The sequence below is a fragment of the Homo sapiens genome, chromosome 13 (genome assembly GCF_000001405.40).
Source record: "Homo sapiens chromosome 13, GRCh38.p14 Primary Assembly".
Classification (NCBI taxonomy): Eukaryota; Metazoa; Chordata; class Mammalia; order Primates; family Hominidae; genus Homo; species Homo sapiens.
The window spans coordinates 31,162,635-31,181,320 of record NC_000013.11 but is presented as its reverse complement, the minus strand read 5'-3'; the positions used below and the strand labels follow the sequence as shown (position 1 = coordinate 31,181,320).

The following is an 18,686-nucleotide window of genomic DNA, read 5'->3' as shown; positions in this document are numbered from 1 at the left end:
TTGCGGTGAGATGACAGCGTGCCACTGCATGCCAGCCTGGGCAACAAGAGCAAAACTCTGTCTCGAAAAGAAAAAAAACAACTTTCATATTGAAGAATTTTTTTTTTCTTAAAGACAGAATCTCACTCTGCCACCCAAATTGGAGTGCAATGGCCCGATCTCGGCTCACTGCAACCTCCGCCTCCTGGGTTCAAGCAATTCTGCCTTAGCCTCCCAAGTAGCTGGGACTACAGGTGCCCACCACCACACCTGGCTAACTTTTGTATTTTTAAAAAAATTTTATTAGTAGTATTTTTTGAGACGGAGTCTTGCTCTGATGCCCAGGCTGGAGTGCAGTGGCGCAATCTTGGCTCACTGCAACCTCCGCCTCCTGGGTTCAAGCGATTCTTCTGCCTCAGTCTCCCGAGTAGCTAGGACTACAGGCATGTGCCACCACGGAGGGCTAATTTTTGTATTTTTAGTAGAGACAGGGTTTCACCATGTTGGCCAGGCTGGCGTGGAACTCCTGACTTCAGGTGATCCACCCGCCTCGGCCTCCTAAAGTGCTGGGATTACAGGCATGAGCCACCGCACCTGGCCTTTTATATTTTTAGTGGATACAGGGTTTCGCCGTGTTGGCCAGCCTGGTCTGGAACTCCTGACCTCAGGTGATCCACCTACCTCAGCCTCCCAAAGTGCTGGGTTTACAGGCATGAGCCACCGCACCCGGCCAAAAATTTTTAAATATGTTAGTATAAACATCTATTTACCAGCCCAATAGTAAACATACATACATGTATTTTTTTCTCAACGGAGGAAAGGTTTCATAAAATTATGCTGCCCTAGAATGGGCACCCGGAATTCTCCTCGAATCTTTCCTCTGGAGAGCAACAGAAAGTTGGTGGGACTGGCCAGGCGCGGTGGCTCATGCCTGTAATCCCAGCACTTTGGGAGGCCGAGGTGGGCGGATCACGAGGTCAGGAGATCGAGACCATCCTGGCTAATACGGTGAAACACCATCTCTACTAAAAATACAAAAAAGCCGGGTATGGTGGTGGGTGCCTGTAGTCCCAGCTATTTGGGAGGCTGAGGCAGGAGAATGGTGTGAACCCGGAAGGCGGAGCTTGCAGTGAGCAGAGATCGTGCCTCTGCACTCCAGCCTGGGCGACAGAGTGATACTCCGTCTCAGAAAAAAAAAAAAAGAAAGAAAGAAAGTTGGTGGGACAAAGGAAAAACCTTAGACAAGTTAAATTTAACTGAGTTTACTTGAGCAAAGAACAGTTCTCCAATAGGATAGAGCTCAGAGCCAGACAGGTGCTAAAAACTCTGGCCTACAAGGTGGTCGGGCAGCAATTATGGACAGAAAACGGAAGTGAGGCACAGAGGCTGCTTAATTGGCTACAGCTGGCCTTTCGCTTTGATTCCTTTGCCACCTGTGATTGGCTGAAGTTCAGCTGCTGTGACTTGCTAAGACGCAACAATTTGTTACAAGAGTATACTCTTAAATTAGGCTTTCCGTTAGATTAAGTACTAAACTAGGTTGCAGTTTGTTACATAAGGCATTCCCATGTAACAAATTTAGTTGTTGACTTCTCAAATTTAGTTTTACAAAGCTAAGAACAGAAATGAGGAAATTGTGGCCTCCAGGGAAAAATAGGGCTTCCTCCCCTCCTCTCTCCTCAGAGGACACTTTGTGGAAGAGTGCTGCTAAGGTAGGTCAAGCTCTACATGATAATGGGGGGTGGGAGGATGAAGAGATGGCGGAGCCTCCAAAGTGCGGAGTGTGATGGGGATGGATGGCAGCTCTGAGCCAGCTGAGGTCTTCTTTCAGATTCTTTTCTTCCAGTATGGCTGTCACAGGTATGCCCGGAGCTGTTCCCGATAGGGTTCTTTCATCTCCCTGCAGAGAGCAGGGGTGAGAGTCAGCAAGTTGTACCCTAGGCCTTAGGAGAAGCTATTTTCTAATGAGTTGCTCATCCTTGGAGTGCTTTTGCCCTTAGCCTCGTCATTATCTGTCATCTGGACGAGTGAAGAGCATCTTTCCTGGGGACCCCGTGTTCACCTGCCCCCTATAGCGTGAACTTGTACTATAATACCATATGGTAATGAGCCGAGTTGAGGAATTAAGCACTTGAAATGTGATGAGTCTGGATTGAGATGTGCTGTAAGTCTAATATGCACACCAGATTCCAAAGATTTTGTATATTAAAAAAAATATAGGCTGGGTGCGGTGGCTCATGCCTGTAATCCCGGCACTTTAGGCAAGGTGGGTGGATCACCAGAGGTCAAGAGTTCGAGGCCAGGCTGGCCAAAATGGTGAAACCCCATCTCTACTAAAAATACAAAAAATTAGCCAGGGATGGATGGTGGTGGGCACCTGTAATCCCAGCTACTCGGGAGGCTGAGACAGGACAATTGTTTGAACCCGGGAGGCAGAGATTGCAGTGAGCTAAGATGGCACCACTGCACTGCAGCCTGAGAGACAGAGTGACACTCCTATTTCTATATATATATATATATATATATATATATATATATATAGAAATAATTTTGTTATGTTGAATTGTTAATTTAGATATATGAGGTTCAGTCAAGTATATTAAAATTATTTTCATCCATTTCTTTTTACTTTTTCGTGTGGCGACTAGGAACCTTTAAAATGACATATACCACTTGCGTTTGTGGCTTACATTATATTTCTTTAGGCGGCATGACCTGGACTTCATGCACTACCCACAGTGAGCCTTGGAGAATCATAAATCTCACTGTGTCCAGAATTGGTTCCTTCCCGTGCGTTTTTGGTCTTGCTGTCTTCAAGAATGAAGCCAGGGACCCTCGTGCTGAGTGTTACAGTTCTTAAAGATGGTGTGTCCCAACTTTGTTCCTTCAGATGTCCAGAGTTTCTTCCTTCTGGTGGGTTCGTGGTCTTGCTGACTTCAAAAGTGAAGCCGCAGACCTTCGCAGCGAGTGTTACAGCTCTTCAAACTGGCGCGTCTGGAGTTTGTTTCTCCGGGTGGGTTCGTGGTTTCGCTGACTTGTGGAGTGAAGCCACACACCTTCACAGTGAGTGTTACAGCTCTTAAAGGTAGCACGTCCAGAGTTCTTCATTCCTCCCCGTGGGTTGGTGGTCTCACTGACTTCAGGAGTGGAATTGCAGACCTTCTCAAGGAGTGTTACAGCTCATAAAGGTAGTGCAGACCCAAAGAGTGAGCAGCAGCAAGATTTATCACAAAGAGCAAAAGAACAAAGCTTCTACAGCACAGAAGGGAACCCAAGTGGGTTGCTGCTGCTGAGTCCCGTGACCAGCTTTTATTCCCTTATTTGGCCCCACCCACATCCTGCTGATTGGTCCATTTTACAGAGTGCTGATTGGTCCATTTTACAGAGTGCTGATTGGTCCATTTCACAGAGTGCTGATTGGTCTGATTTTACAGAGTGTAGATTGGTGCATTTACAAACCTTTAGCTAGACACAGAGTGCTGATTGGTGCATTTACAATCCTTTAGCTACACAGAAAAGTTCTCCAAGTCCCCACCCAACCCAGAAGCCCAGCCGGCTTCGCCTCTCAACATCGTTCCTCTGCTCAAAACTTTCCAATGGCTTTGCATTTTGCTCAGAGGCAAATAAAAGTTTTACTGTGTCTTACAAGGCCTTAGGTGGTCTTAGATGACCCCAACTGCCCTGTCTGACCCCCTCTCCTATCACACTTGCCTTTGCCTCTCCATTCAGGGCTAATCAAAGAACATGCCAAGCAGGGTTCTACTCTAGGCCTTCTCCATGTGTTTCCCTTCTGCTTAGAATCCCTTTCCCCAGGCTATCTGCAGGTCACTCCCTCACTCTTTTCAGGCTTCTGCTCATTGGTTACCACCTCCTTTAAAGTAGGAGCGCACACGCATATGCACGCACACACACATACACACACACTATTCCCTGTACCACCTGCCCCCTTACTCTGCTTTAGTTCTTCATGGTGCTTACCACAAACTGTTTTTTTGTTTTGTTTTGTCCATCTCCTTCTGTCAGAACATTAGTGTCTTAGTCAATTTGTGGTGTTACAGGGGAATACCTGAGGCTGGGTAGTTTATTAAAAAAAGAAGTTTATTTGGCTTATGGACCTGCAGGCTGTATAAGAAGCATGGCACTAGCATCTGTTTCTGGTAAGGCAGGCTTCCAGTCATGGCAGAAGGGGAAGGGGAGTCAGCATCATATGTTGAGAGGAAAGAAGCAAGAGAAGGGAGGGGTGCCACATTCTTTTTAACTATCAGTTCTCTTGGGAGACTTCACTCATTACCTCCGAGATGGCACCAAGCCATTCGTGAAGGATTACCCCATGACCAAAACACCTCCCACCAGGCTCTACCTCCAACACTGGGATCAAATTTCAACATGAGATTTGAGGGGACAAATACCCAAACTCTATCAATCAGGAAACTTCATAAAAGCAGAGGTTTTGTCTGCTACTTACTGTCAAATACTCGGTGCTTAGAAGAGAGCCTGGAGCTTAGTGGACACTCAGGAATGCTTGTTGAAGAAATGAATATCAGAGTGTGGTAAATATGTGTGGATCCAGTGGAGAGAAAGCCCAGGAGGCCCTTCTGGTCTGCTGCTAGCCCTCTGCCACCACACCAGATTTCCACATTGGGGTTTAAGGCAAAAGCCTCCCACAGGTAGAGATTTTTTCCCTGACCTTGTTTTCTATACAAACTTGAGGAGGTGGCTGTGGCAAAACAGGACCTGGGGACGTTCAGCGCCTTCCAAATACCATCAACCCCCAACACAGTTCAGAAAATACCTGCCCCAACTTTTCTCTTTGCAGCACAACTAAAACAAAATATAGTCTTTTAAAAGTCTTAGGTAAAATAAAAACAAAGCTTAGAAATGCAAATAGCATGAAAGCAATTACTGTTGGGCTTGGCCCATGCTCCTAGAGTAACTAGAGTCAACTCACAGATGGATTACATTTCCAAGAGGGAGGCCTGGGTTACTCTGGCTTCAGCTTTCATCTATTTCCAGGTCACATTGGCTCTGGATGTTGTCTCATTTTCCACTGCCTAGTATACTCCTGAACACTGTCCTCAATTCAAGGAGAAACTGAAATGCCAACTTTTCTTATTACAAACACTTTCCAGAGACCTGTAGTTCACAGTTTAAAGTCAAACACACTCTACATGCAGTTAATCCTCATTTCATCCAGTCAGTCACCTTCTCTGCCCCAACTGGCCTCCAGATTCATTTCTGTGGGCTGCTCACCCTCTGCTGGTCTCAGCGCAGCCCTCTGACAATATTTAGCAGCTTGGTCTCAATTACCAGGGAGATTGAGCAACTGAAGGCTGAAGGCCCCACGGGATAGGAGAGCCTCTTAGGGCTGGACTCACCACCTAAGGCTGCTTTCAGACCCCTCCAGGGCCACTTTACCAGAGGCAGGTTAGTGATCTGCTCTGTGTGAGATCAGACGTGAGGACTGTCCCACCCAGAATCCTGAAGCCTCACCCCATCCCATCTCCATACCTTTTTTTTTTTTTTTTTGACAAGGAGTCTCACTCTGTCGCCCAGGCTGGAGTGCAGTGGCACGATCTCGGCTCAGTGCAAGCTCTGCCTCCTGGGTTCGCGCCATTCTCCTGCCTCAGCCTCCCAAGCAGCTGGGACCACAGGCGCCCACCACCACACCTGGCTTTTTTTTTTTTTTTTTGTATTTTTAGTAGAGATGGAGTTTCACCATGTTAGCCAGGATGGTTTCGATCTCCTGATCTCGTGATCCGCCCACCTTGGCCTCCCAAAGTGCTGGGATTACAGGCGTGAGCCATCGCGCCCAGCTAACTTGCTCTCCTAATAGAACAAAAATTGTGCCCCATTCACCAGGGCTTACTTGTCAGAGATTTTGTGGCTTAGGCTCTGCTTTAAATAAGAAATTATTTAAAGCACTTTGTCCTGTTTTCTCACATTGCCTGCGTCCCCACCCACCACCTCTGTGGCTCCCAGTCTGCTGAGGACAGTGCCCCTTCCCCTTCACTTTTCCTCCCCGTTTGATCAAGCAAGGGTTTTGGTCATTAATACCCGGCCCTACCATTTACTGGTTGTCCTCAGGGAAGTTATTTAATCCAACTGAGCCTTACTTTCATTTGCAGAATGGGGATGATAATAGAAGGTACCTATCTAAGAGGAACCTTGGGAGGTGATGTAAGACATTCATGGCACCCAGCACTGTGCTGAGGTGCTCAGTAAGTGAAAATCCCTTCTCGCCAGCTGTCATGGGCGTTATTTTTTCTGCCTGCCTGGCATGTCTGTGAGGCACCATCCCTGCCCATTCTGCAGTAATGCTGGGGGCCTGGTGGTTTGATTCTCCATCATCCTCACCAGTAGCTTGGGCAGATAGCTCTGCACAGTGACTTCAGGTACCAGGTCACACTCACTGGCTCTTCTCTTCCCTTCTTCTACTTTTTTTTTTTTTTTGAGACATAGTCTCCCTCTGTAGCCCAGGCTGAAGTGCAGTGGCACAATCTTGGCTCACTGCAACCTCCACCTCCCAGGTTCAAGTGATTCTTCTGCCTCAGCCTCCCAAGTAGCTCGGATTACAGGCATGCACCACCATGCCCAGCTAATTTTTGTGTTTTTAGCAGATGGGGTTTCACCATGTTGGCCAGGCTGGTCTTGAACTCCTGACCTCAAGTGATCTGCCACCTCGGCCTCCCAAAGTGCTGGGATTACAGGCATGAGCCACCATGCCCAGTCTCTTTGTGACTTTCTTACGGTAAGAACTATGTTACTCTGGAGCTGCAAGGTCTGCCTTTGCCCCTACATAAGGAAGGCCCATCTGAGAAGGGAAGCAACGCAGAGCAGAGTTTAGCTGAGAGATGGGCAGAGAGAAAGTCCTGAGGATGTCACTTGAGCTCCTGGATATGGCTGAGCCTAAACTAGATGCCCCCTAAAACTTCCAAATTATGTGGATCAGTAAATTCCCATTTTTGTTTTGTTGGTTGGCTGATTTTTTTGTTGTTGTTGCCTGCAACTGCAAAAATCCAAACTAATATACTGTTTTTCCCTGCCCTGGTTCGTAACTTTGACAGCTTGTGTAAGATTTTCATGAGTCTCTGGCTCCCCTGGGTGGCAAAGAGAATAAATTCACATTTCTAGGAGTCCCACTCTCTGCACTAGCATGCTCCTTTCTACAGTTTATTTATGTTTCGACTCCCCTAGTCTCAAACATACTTGTGTGTAATCTTAGCCCACAGATGTTTTGGCAGAAATTTCTTTTTCATGGTTATACTGCTTTTCTAGCTGTGGTGGTTCTGGGTCTGCAGTCGGTCAAATCTCATCCCTGGTCCTGCTTGGGGTGGCCATTGAATTGGGTTTGAGTCAGTGGTACAGTGAGTGGCCCAAGTTGGGGGGCAGTGGGTCACCCTCTTCTAGGAGCAGTCAGCGACACAAAACACCATCTTGGTATTATTAGAAGGTTGTACCAACCAGCTATAGGAACAAGCCCCAGTGCCAACATGATTTTAAAAGTCCTAGCCAGAGGAATTAGGCTCATCCAGATTATTCTGTCTGAGGAAGAACTGACTAGTTAGAAAAAAATTACAAGTCGATAGGTGTTTTCATGATGTAAGAATCTATTTAAGAACATGAAGGTGTGGCCATATTCGTTTTATTTTGTCATGATGAATATCCTGGGGAGCCATTGCTACTGCAAAAAGGTCCCTGGAACACTTACCAATCTTTTAGTACTCAGAGACTACCTGGAAACACGTCTTTAGTATGTGCCTTTCTGAGCTGGGCTCACCTATTACATCATTGTTGCTCATTCCTTATTTTGAGCCTTGTACTTCAGAATCGCTAACCTAATCCGCATATGTATTTGTTCGTCTCCTCTGTATTTGCATACTCTGGCAGAGAAATGGAGTCCTCTTCCTCCATCCTACTCACTTTAGCTCAGGCGTCACCCACCTTATTCCCCCTTCCAACATCCTTGGCCCAGGTGAGCTACGTGTCCCACTGCTGTGTCCAAAAATTTTCTGTTCACAGAGCTGTCATTATAACGATTCCATTGGATAATTATGTTTATGGGTGTGTCCTCAACCAGACTGAGAAGCTTGAGGCACAGTTTTTAACTCTTTTTTTTCTTAAGGCCATATGTCTCCTGGCTCACGGTATGGCCCATAGCAGGCGTGCAAAGTTCATTGAATTGATATGTTCATTAAAAGTACGGGGTCGATAAAATAGCACCTGTTGAGGAACTACTGTCTAGATGCCTTAGAGAACTGTAGTGAGAATTTAACAAGAGAGCATAAATCAATGACAGGGAGATATACCTAGCACAAAGTCAACATGGTTGTTGAATGAATGATGGAAGATCTACATTTTGAAGATGAAAATGATGAAGTTCAGACAGCTTAAACTTTTTCCCAGAGTCACACAGTTAAAGTGAGAGAGGTGAGATCTGAACACAGCCCACTCTGGCCCCTAAGCCCTTGGCTTCCCCTACAGCTCCTTGTCATCTTCTGCATTATACATCTTTAGGTCTCTTGCCCCAGCAGGCAGGCAAACATTTTTCATTGTTGACAATGACCCTTGAATCAACTGTAACACTTTCACATGATGGCTTTCCATGGGAGGAATTCCAGAAATATTTGTTGCATGAATGGATGAATGAATAGACTTGGGAAATTTCCAGTGCTGAACAAAGGTGCGTGGACTAGTCCATTTAGGGCATGATACTATATATCCCTTTAGAACATGTACCAACATCACTATAGCAATCCACTAAGCAGAAATATAACGTGTTATAAAATAACACTGGAGACAGGGCCAAAAGAACAATGTCATAGAAATAAAGGTAAAGAAAAGAAAGTTAACCTTTCTAGGACAGTGATAGATTTTAAATCTGTGGTATTCAGAATATTCTTATGAATTTTTCACAATGGAATGGAGGTATTTTGACCTCCCCTCTAAAATCTGATTCTCTGATTTAGAATTATCTGCAAAGATATTCACACAGATATATGTAGTTTTTTTGAAATTTGTGGACTATCAATTATCTAGGCAGTCACGCAATATGAACAGCACAATATGAAAGATGAAGATAAGGAAACAGTTTTGCTGTTCTCTTTCATAATCCTGGGAGAGGGTTATGAAGGGAGTGAAGTGACTCGGAAGTGTCTTAGGTAACCAAGCATTAGTAATCAAAGCAATAACAACCATAGCTGTCAGCTATTGTGTGCCCTTTTAATGGAAGACATCTGGCTTAGGTGATATTACTTTATTAATTGGTCCCCACAATACCACAATGAGGTAGGATTTTTTTTTTTTCTTTTTTCGAGATGGAGTCTCACTCTTGTTGCCCAGGCTGGAGTACAGTGGCGCGATCTCGGCTCACTGCAACCTCCACCTCCTGGGTTCAAGCGATTCTCCTGCCTCAGCCTCCCCAGTAGCTGGGATTACAGGCGCCCGCCACCACCCCCAGCTAATTTTTGTATTTTTAGTAGAGACAGGGTTTCGCCATGTTGGCCAGGCTGGTGTTGAACTCCTGACCTCAGGTGATCCACCTGCCTCGGCCTCCCAAAGTGCTGGGATTACAGGCGTGAGCCACCGCACCTGGCCAAGGTAGAATTTCTTACCCACATCTTACTGGTAAGATTTTAGAAGAGTTAGGCAGTTTGCCCGAGAAAGGTTGCAGATGCCAGGATTTATACCCAGCTCTGCCTGACTCCACACACAGTCTAGAGGGTTGTCTTGTGACTATTACTATAATACCAAATGCACAGTACAGCTGCCAAGGCCCTTAACCTTGCTGCAGTTCTGAGAGTTGGTTCTCTTTCAGTTTCCTGAAGGCAGGAACGTGGGCTGTTCGTCATGGTATCTCCAGCACAAAGCAAACGGCTGCCACATTGTAGGAGTTCATCCAGATCACTCTATATGAGGAAAGTGCGAAGGTGACTTGCTAGAATAAAACATTTCAAGTCAAAGGCTAATAGGTATTTTCATTATGTAATCTATAAGGACATTTAAAACCATAAAGGTTTGGCCATGTTGGTTTTATTTTATCCTAATTAATATCATGGAGACCTACTGCTATTCCAAAAAGCCAATAAGGTCCTTGGATTCCTCCTTTTGTTACTGGTGGAGAGTGTCTAGGTTTTTGACATCTTGAACAAAGAATTGGACAAAATGCACAAACAAAACAAGGAAAGAATGAAGCACCAAAACAAGAGATCTATTGAAAATAAAAGTACACTCCACATGGTGGGAATGGGTCTTAGCATAGGGGATCAAGGCCCCAGTTCCAGAATTTTCTGGAGTTTAAATACACTCTAGAGGTTTCCCATTGGCCACTTGGTTTACACCCCATGCAAATGAAGTAGTGGTCCGCAATCAAGAGGCTGAAGCAAAGTTACAAAGTTACATTCGTATGCAAACATCTGATTGGTTGTGGAAAGCAACCAGTCAGAGGTACTTTCAATTTTCTGTCTGCTATGCAGGAAAAGGAGGGAGGGTTTGCAAAGTTGGGGTTTTCCTTTTGATTTAGTTCTAGGAAGTCAGCCTAAATCGGCCTTAGGTTCCCTGCCTGCAGACTCTATTCTCCTGCCTCACTTTGGGAACAGCCCAGGATTCCTCAATGTTATAGTCCCCACTCACCATCCCTGCCAAGCACCCTCACATCTCCTTACACACAACAACAGACAATGGTACTCTGCCCCCAGGGAAGAGTTCTGGGTCTATTCAAAGACAGATGTGATCCTCAAGGACATGCCATAGGTCACAGTAGTAAGGGTCGAGCTTCCATTACTCCAGAGGAGAAGAAAAACCTTTGTTATTCATCTCTGCCACCAAAGGCGATAGTCTAGAGTGGATTTCCTCCTCCTAATGAGTTGCCCTCCCCATTGGAAAGGCCAGTGCAGGTCCCAGGTGGGGGAAAAGGAGGAATGGTTTGTTGTTTGTTCTAGCAAACAGGGAAGGACACTTTTTTCACTTTCTTGCAGCTGATGATGTAAGAAGGCCTGGCTCCCTCTTGCTGGTTAGGCCTCTTAGCCATGGCAGACCAAAAAGAAATCAGATAGGAAGAGAACATGCATGTATGGCTTAAGAACCTTGGCAGAGGGCTGGGCATGGTGGCTCACGCCTAGAAATCCAGCACTTTGGGAGGCTGAGGCAGGCAGATGACAAGGTCAGGAGATCAAGACCATCCTGGCTAACATGGTGAAACCCCATCTCTACTAAAAATACAAAAAATTAGCCAGGCGTGGTGGCGCGTGCCTATAGTCCCAGTTACTTGGGAGGCTGAGGCAGGAGAATCGCTTGAACCTGGGAGGTGGAGGTTGCAGTGAGCCGAGATTGTGCCACTGGGCGACAGAATGAGACTCCATCTTAAAAAACAAAACAAAACAAAACAAAAAAACAAACAAAAAAACAAAAAACAAAAAACAAAAAAAAACCTTGGCAGAGGTAGGTCAGGGATTTTCATTCTGGGGCATTTAGGAGACATGACCAACAGTGAATGATTAATAAATGATGAAGAGAGAAAGGGAGGAAGGCAGGAAGAAACGAAGGAAAAGGAAAGGAGCAATTTTTGATTCATTCAACAAAGGCCTATAAATAAAAAGAGAAAGGACAGTCTTCGGGAGCTCACAGCCCTTGGGGGAATCAATAAACAAGCCCTAAAGTTTGAACAACTCAGACAGAAATCAGAGGCAGCTGAGCAGAGCAGGGAGCGCGGAGCAGTACTCCCCTTTCTTCTCAAGAGGAATGGAGTTGCGGGGTCGAGGGGGCAGTGGGGAGCTGTTGGGAGGGAGCCACAAAGATTCTTATGCACCCAGCCAGTCTGACCACGGTAATATAAGGCAGAGTCCTACAGAGCCATATGCCCCTTGGCTATCTTCTTTTTTCTTTTTTTTTTTTTTTGAGACAGAGTCTTGCTCTGTTGCCAGGCTGGAGTGCAGTGGCACAATCTCGGCTCACTGCAACCTCCGCCTTTCGGATTCAAGCGATTCTCCTGCCTCAGCCTCCTGAGTAGCTGGGATTACAGGTGTGTGCCACCACGCCCAGCTAATTTTTGTATTTTTAGTAGAGACGGGGTTTCACCGTGTTGGACAGAATGGTCTTGATCTCTTGACCTCATGATCTGTCTGCCTCGGCCTCCCAAAGTGCTGGGATTACAGGTATGAGCCACCATGCCTAGACTGCCCCTTGGATATCTTCCTATGCAGCCTTTAATATAACCAACTAGGGAAACTGGTTTTATTTAAGTGGAACTTATTTAATAAAAATATCTCCATTCTGGGAGTGGAAACTTAAATCTATGTGACTTGGTTTTTTCATATGACCGGGAATGATTGGGAGCACCTGTTTGATGACGTAGCCGTGCTGGCAGTCGGAGGAGCCACAACAGAGTTGGGTGGGGCGGAGTGCTGGCATTTAACAGCAGCTAACAGCGTGAGGGCCGGCTACACACCTGGCTTAGTGCAGGGCACTGGGCACAGAGAGATGCGTAAGCATGGATGGCACACCAGAACCCAGGCGAAAGGAGCTTTGGGAGTTGGGAGGCACCAGCCGGCGGGTTATCTGCCTGGGCCTGGGAGAGACAGAGGCTGGAGACATGGCAGGGACAAGGAGCTCAAGACACTCTCCTGCCTTTTTGTCTTGGGCTGACCCTGTTCCCTCTTTTCAGAGACAAAGGGGAAAACATTTATATTGTCAAAATATAAAAAGAGTTGTTAAATGGTGAAAGGCTAAGAGAGCCTTTGTAAGCAGGAAATAAGGTGGACTAACGTATTTATGGAGAATGGGCTTCTTTAATGAAAGTAACAAATTACACACTTCCTCAGGAAAAACAGAATTGTAACCGTTTCTTCAGGCACATGTGAAAAGAAAGAAAGAAAGGAAGGAATAGTTAGTATCCTGTATCTTTTCTATTCCAAATTATGATGAGGTCGATTCAAAGTCCTTGTACATAAAGATGAGTCATTTCAGTACAGACTCTTTGGGTCTAATTTACATTTCAGAATTTAAAAAGCTGGTTTCAGTGTTGTTGGCCAGCAATATTAGCTTTCTAAGAGTAACTGAATTTTTTTCTAGGAAGTCTCATCTTCTCCAATGCTTTATTCCTTCCTCTCAATATATTTTAACCTCATGTTTGCTGGTGTGGAAAGCAGCTGAAAGGCATGTAGAATAATTTGAGTGCCTCATCCTTCAGAATAGGCAAGAAATTCCCTTTTTGCTGTTTTCCCATTGATGCCAAGGAATTAAATAAAGCAACCGTAATTTGTATGGCTTTGAGTTGTGTCTCTCCTTTCCACATTATTCTAGTCATCCACCATTAGACAAGTGGTTATATACATCCTTGCCAAGATGTAACTTTGCAATCAGATAGTGAGTTCTTCCGAAGTGTCCGGAAGGAGGAATTTCATTTCACTTGGCACAAATGAGGTAAGAACAGTATGACTTGCTCAATAAAAACAGGTACCCAAAATGTTTTTTATTCTACCACTCCCACCCTCCCTAGTGGATTATTAATTAGTTTAGGGGAACTGAATGCACCCTTGGTTCCAACAGCTTAATGAGCTACCCCATGAGGGCATCTGTAATATGTCTCAAGAGCTCAGACACATCCTGGTTTCAGAATCCTCTGACACACAGAAAAATACACCAACAATTTGTAGTTATTTTCCCACCAAAATGAAGGTGCTTTTTTTCAACACAGCAAACCTAAAGAGTCTGTACTGAAATGACTCATCTTTATGTACAAGGACTTTGAACTGACCTCATCATAATTTGGAATAGAAGAGACACAGGATACTAACTCTTCCTTCCTTTCCTTCTTTTCACACATGCCTGAAGAAACAAAAGAAAGAAGAAAAGAGGAATCTATTTCTGGTATATAAATTTAGTTTTCAGGGTGGAAAATCAGAATATTATGTAGGGCAACAATGATTCTGGTTATCCAAATATTAACTTTCTTTCTCCTTTCTATGATAGAATGACTAAGGTAACCATGAATGTAAGAATTAATTAATAATTTTCAGTCACTATGTGGGCATTCTAATTATTATTTCATAAGTAAAGAAGCCAAGGTGGCTGGGCACTGTGGCTCACACCTGTAATCCCACCACTTTGGGAGGCCGAGGCAGGTGGATCACGAGGTCAGGCGTTCAAGACCAACCTGGTCAAGATGGTGAAACCCCTGTTTCTACTAAAAATACAAAAATTAGCCAGGTGCGGTGGCAGGCGCCTGTAATCCCAGTTATTCAGGAGGCTGAGGCAGGAGAATCGCTTGAACCCAGGAGGCGGACATTCCAGTGAGCTGAGATTGCACCACTGCACTCCAGCCTGGGTGACAGAACAAGCCTCTGTCTCAGAAAAAAAAAACAAAAAAACCCAAGGCAAAGGAAAACAGTGAATTGTATGTACCTTTCTGAAGGAAGTAATTGATAATCACAAAAATACTTTCAACCACAGTTCAATATTACCTTCTTGGAATAGGCAGTGCACATTTGTACAACAGCAGGCATGTCTCGTAGCCAAATGAGAGATGTGTCCCTCCTCTTGTAACCTAATACAGGTTGGAGTTGTCTGACTCATTCAGATCTGGGTTACCGTTCTCCCATCTCTTAGCCTCTGTGGCTCAGAAATCAAACAGTGCTCTATTTTCTTTCAAACACATTCTGAGACTCTGCCCTTTTTGTATTAGGCTTAAATCAAAGCTACTGCTCTTAACCAGGGACAACTTTGTCCATTGGTGACATTCGGCAATGTCTGGAGACATTTTCGGTTGTTGCAATTGGGCCAGGGGTGAGGTGGTGGGGGTGTGGGGGGTGCGGGAGGAAGAGCAGGACACTGCTGCTGGCAACTAGTAGGATGTGGCCATGGATGCAGTTAATTATTCAGGGTGCAGGACAGCCCACACGATGACTATCCAGCCCAAAATGTCAACAGTGCCAAGGCTGAGAAACTCTGCATTAGAGAAAAGCATTTCCCAATAAGTTTGTTTTTTCATTCAACTATTCAACAAATATTGATTGAGCATCTATAATGCACTATAAAGAAGAAAAACAATCACTGCCCTCTGGGTCAGACAATCAAAGAAGGGAAGTACCTAACACACACACACACACACACACACACACACACCCCAAGATCACTGCAGCTATATGTTGTAGTATAGAGTGTGGTACATGTTGTGAAGGAAATCAGTGGATAACAACAGAGAGTGAACCAGGAGGTGCTTTAGGTAATATGGTCATGAAAGACCTTCCTGAGGAGGTTACTTGCTTTGGGTAGCAAGTAACAGAAACCCCAATTCAAGTTGGCTTAAGTGGTGAGGAAATGTATGGCTGGCATAACTTAAATCTAGAGGTAGGGTGGGTCTCAAGACTGACTTCAGCCCTAGGCTCCAACTTAATTTTCTTAGTTCTATCCACTTCCATGTGTCATTTCCTTTTCAGGATGATAGTAAGGTTGTTGTAATGGTTCTGGGCCTCATAACCTCACACAACAGCGCCTGGAGGAAGAAGAAGATGGAGGGAGTGGAAGGAAAGGGATGGAAAGGGGCAGAGAAATACCCTCATACCCAGGCATTCTAAACCATAGCCCTGAAAGTCACCCTGATTGGGCTGCCTAGGTCACCTGACCATCCTGGAACCAACGACTGTGGCCAAGGGGAATAGGATGTGCTGATTGGCCTAAGCCAAACAGTGACCACCCTCCGCATTCGGGCTGGCACCAGCTTCTCCTTAACTGGACAAGAACTGGGTGTACTTTGGGGAAGGGTAATGTGCTTACTGGGTGGGCATTCAGAAACCTTCTCTACAGATGGTGAAGAATTCAATAGAGCCTTGAAGGATGAGGAACTGGCCTAGCCAGGAGCCTGAGGAAGAATTTTCTAGGCAGGGGAATAAAGGAACACCTTGATGTGGGGTAGGGGGCCAGTGTGCCTGAGCACGGTGTTCCAGTGGCAAAGTGGCTCACAGTGAGTTTGGGGGCAGACATGAACATTTTCCTACACATTGAGTTTTTGTCTGCCACATTTATTACAAAATATGATCCTTTTTAGGCTAAAAGAAACATCATTTTACATATCTTTTCCATGTCCTACCAGACAAAACATACTTACCTTATTTCTAGGTGTACCTTTTTATAAGTCTCTGCTCCCTGCGTGATTTCCCCATGCATTCCTATTTTTAGATGATCATTCTATTATAACTTAAAATAAGGACAAAATAGGTTTTAGCAGAACCAATTAAGGTTTAAAAGATACATTTTCAGGTTAATATATAAGAAGAAAACAAAAATCTTTTGGTAAGCAAATATTGAAAAAGGTTCAAACGGACAAGATTTCAGATAATTGAGTATTCATGATGCCCCAGCATTGCAGAGAAGTGACAAAACACATCTTGATTTAGAACAAGTTTTATACTACTTCTGTAACCCTCCAGACCCTGGCATTATGCTGGTTATAGAGAAGACTGCCATACTGGTTGATACCAGAAATTCAAAGTCATATGCACTTTCATGTATATTACTCTATCTGCATATCCCCTCCTTTGCCCATCTCTTCCTCCTTTCAAGGAAGCCTGGCATAGTTTTTTATATCTACTGCATATTATCTCTTTGAATGGCATTTTTGTTTGGGCTTTTCTTAATTTTGCATTTTTGTTTTATTGTTCTTTGGAAGTGGTCTGTTTCTGCTTCCAATTTTGAGGTCCTTCTTATTCTCTAAAACAAATATGGAATGAAACCTAATAATTGGATTCATAATTACATAACAAGGATTTGTAGGGATTGTCATTATTTGGTCCAAGTCTCATTTTAAAATTTCTGACATTACAACAGTAAGTGTGATAAATTCTACATGTAATAAAATATATAAACATATAAAGTAATAAAATATAATAAAGTGTTAAAAGTGAATTTTTTTAATAGTCTTGCTATATTGCCTGGGCAGGACTTCAACTCCTGGGCTGAAGCAACCCACATGCCTCAGCCTCCCATGTAGCTGGTACTAGAGGCATGAGCCACTGCACCTAGCTAGGAATTATTTTTTTATTTTTAGAGACAGACTCTTGTTCTGTTGCCCAGGCTGCAGTGCAGTGGAGTGATCATAGTTCACTGCAGCCTCAAACTCCTGGGCTCAGGTGATCCTCCTGCCTTGGCCTCCCAAAGTGCTGGGATTACAGATGTGAGCCGCCATGCCTGGCCCAGCTAAGAATTTCAATTAGATAATAAATATGGTAGATTTTACAACCTCTTATCACTTACCTGTTGTGCTGAATAATTAAGGCAAATCGATTAAATAAAAGGGGGCTACACCATGACTACACAACACATCCACAGCAGTACAAGATTAAAGTTTGTACTGACTTTCACTGAATGATATTACTTCTATTACTACAATTTATCAAATACCACCATACCATGTTTTATTTATATCTAATCCTTCCAAAATCCTAGCAAAAATAGGTATTACTTCCATTTTACAGTCGAGGAAACAGAGGGCAAAGAGGAATTTGACAAAGATGACAGACTTTATATGTTTATGTTTATATATGTTTAGTGCTTTACATATAGTTTCCATCATTACATAAACACCATGAGATGGAATACAGAAAGGCTTAGTAATTATCGCAACATCACACAGCTCACAAATAAGAATAGCTAGGATTCAAGCCCATGATGTCTGACTCCAGGAGGCCTGGTGCCCTTACAAGCTGTACTTTATATAAAACATCTTAGTAGAGTGCCAAGGATTTGAACCTGACCCAAATCTGTCTGGCTCCAAAGACTGAGAACTGTTCATGTCTCCTCTTCGTACGGCAGTTAAAATGTGGGAAGCAGACCAAATAATCTCAAAGGTTCTTTCTGTTCAAAATTGCTATGTCTCCATGGATTTTATTATAAGGTTTTGATATGTAAGAAAAAGTTGGTGGGCGGGGGGTGGGGACAGAAACCAAGTTTTTGGGATGCATAACAAAAATAACTTATAGTTACAGCTAACTATATGTCCAAATGTAAGAACACAACAACCCCGTGATAACTATTATTGCTCCCATTTTAAAGGTGAGTTAACTGAAGCATGTTAAGTAAGCCACCTAAGTGGCAGGAAAACTAGCAAAAGCACATACAATTTACATGTAATGTAAACCTGGGCCTTTCGTCTTGCCTCTGACTTAACCAACTTGTTTTGATAGACAAGGAGGAATTCCCATACTCTTTATGAGTTAGATTTTTCTAACTTTAGGTTACAACTCCTTATTCAATTACACGCTTATCCAATAACATATTTGAACTGTGCTTATACTTCCACATGCCTGACATAAGGTAAACTCAGGGATCAGAAGCAAACTTAAAAAGACACAAAAGGGTATAAAAGACCTGATAAGTTATCAGCAACACAGTTCCACCTTTTCTTACACTGTCTCTTTACTGAACAAAAGTTAACGGGGACATCGCTTCTGAGGGAAAGAAACAAAAGCTGCTTCAGATCAAACAAAAAGCAAAACTTACACACAGTACCAATTTATGGCTAGGAGTGGCAGGGTAGAACAGCGTCGGCTTAAATCAGACCTTTTAAAAATAAGCAGAAAGTGATACCGTGGACAGCCTGCCAAATGACGTCACAACTAAAAATCGATTTCTTAAAAAAAAAAACACCTGACATTTTACTCCACAAGAGATCATCCTGCTGCCTGATGAATACAAGAACACTTAACACAACCCCTTTG

At 44.0% G+C, this 18,686-nt stretch overlaps 1 long non-coding RNA gene across 3 annotated transcripts; it reads right to left on the bottom strand.

The window, feature by feature from the left end:
- Nucleotides 1-9,551: 9,551 nt before the first annotated feature.
- LOC105370148 (uncharacterized) lies at nucleotides 9,552-18,661 on the bottom strand. 3 transcript variants are annotated; one of them, XR_941825.3, is made up of 3 exons: nucleotides 17,224-18,661; nucleotides 16,079-16,167; nucleotides 9,552-9,884 (listed from the first exon to the last, which is right to left on the bottom strand). It is a non-coding gene; the product is annotated as an uncharacterized LOC105370148 (long non-coding RNA). The 3 variants fall into 3 exon arrangements; XR_001749804.2 differs by lacking the exon at nucleotides 9,552-9,884 and adding an exon at nucleotides 14,947-15,466; XR_001749805.2 differs by lacking the exon at nucleotides 9,552-9,884 and adding an exon at nucleotides 14,947-15,466 and having other exon boundaries at nucleotides 16,096-16,167.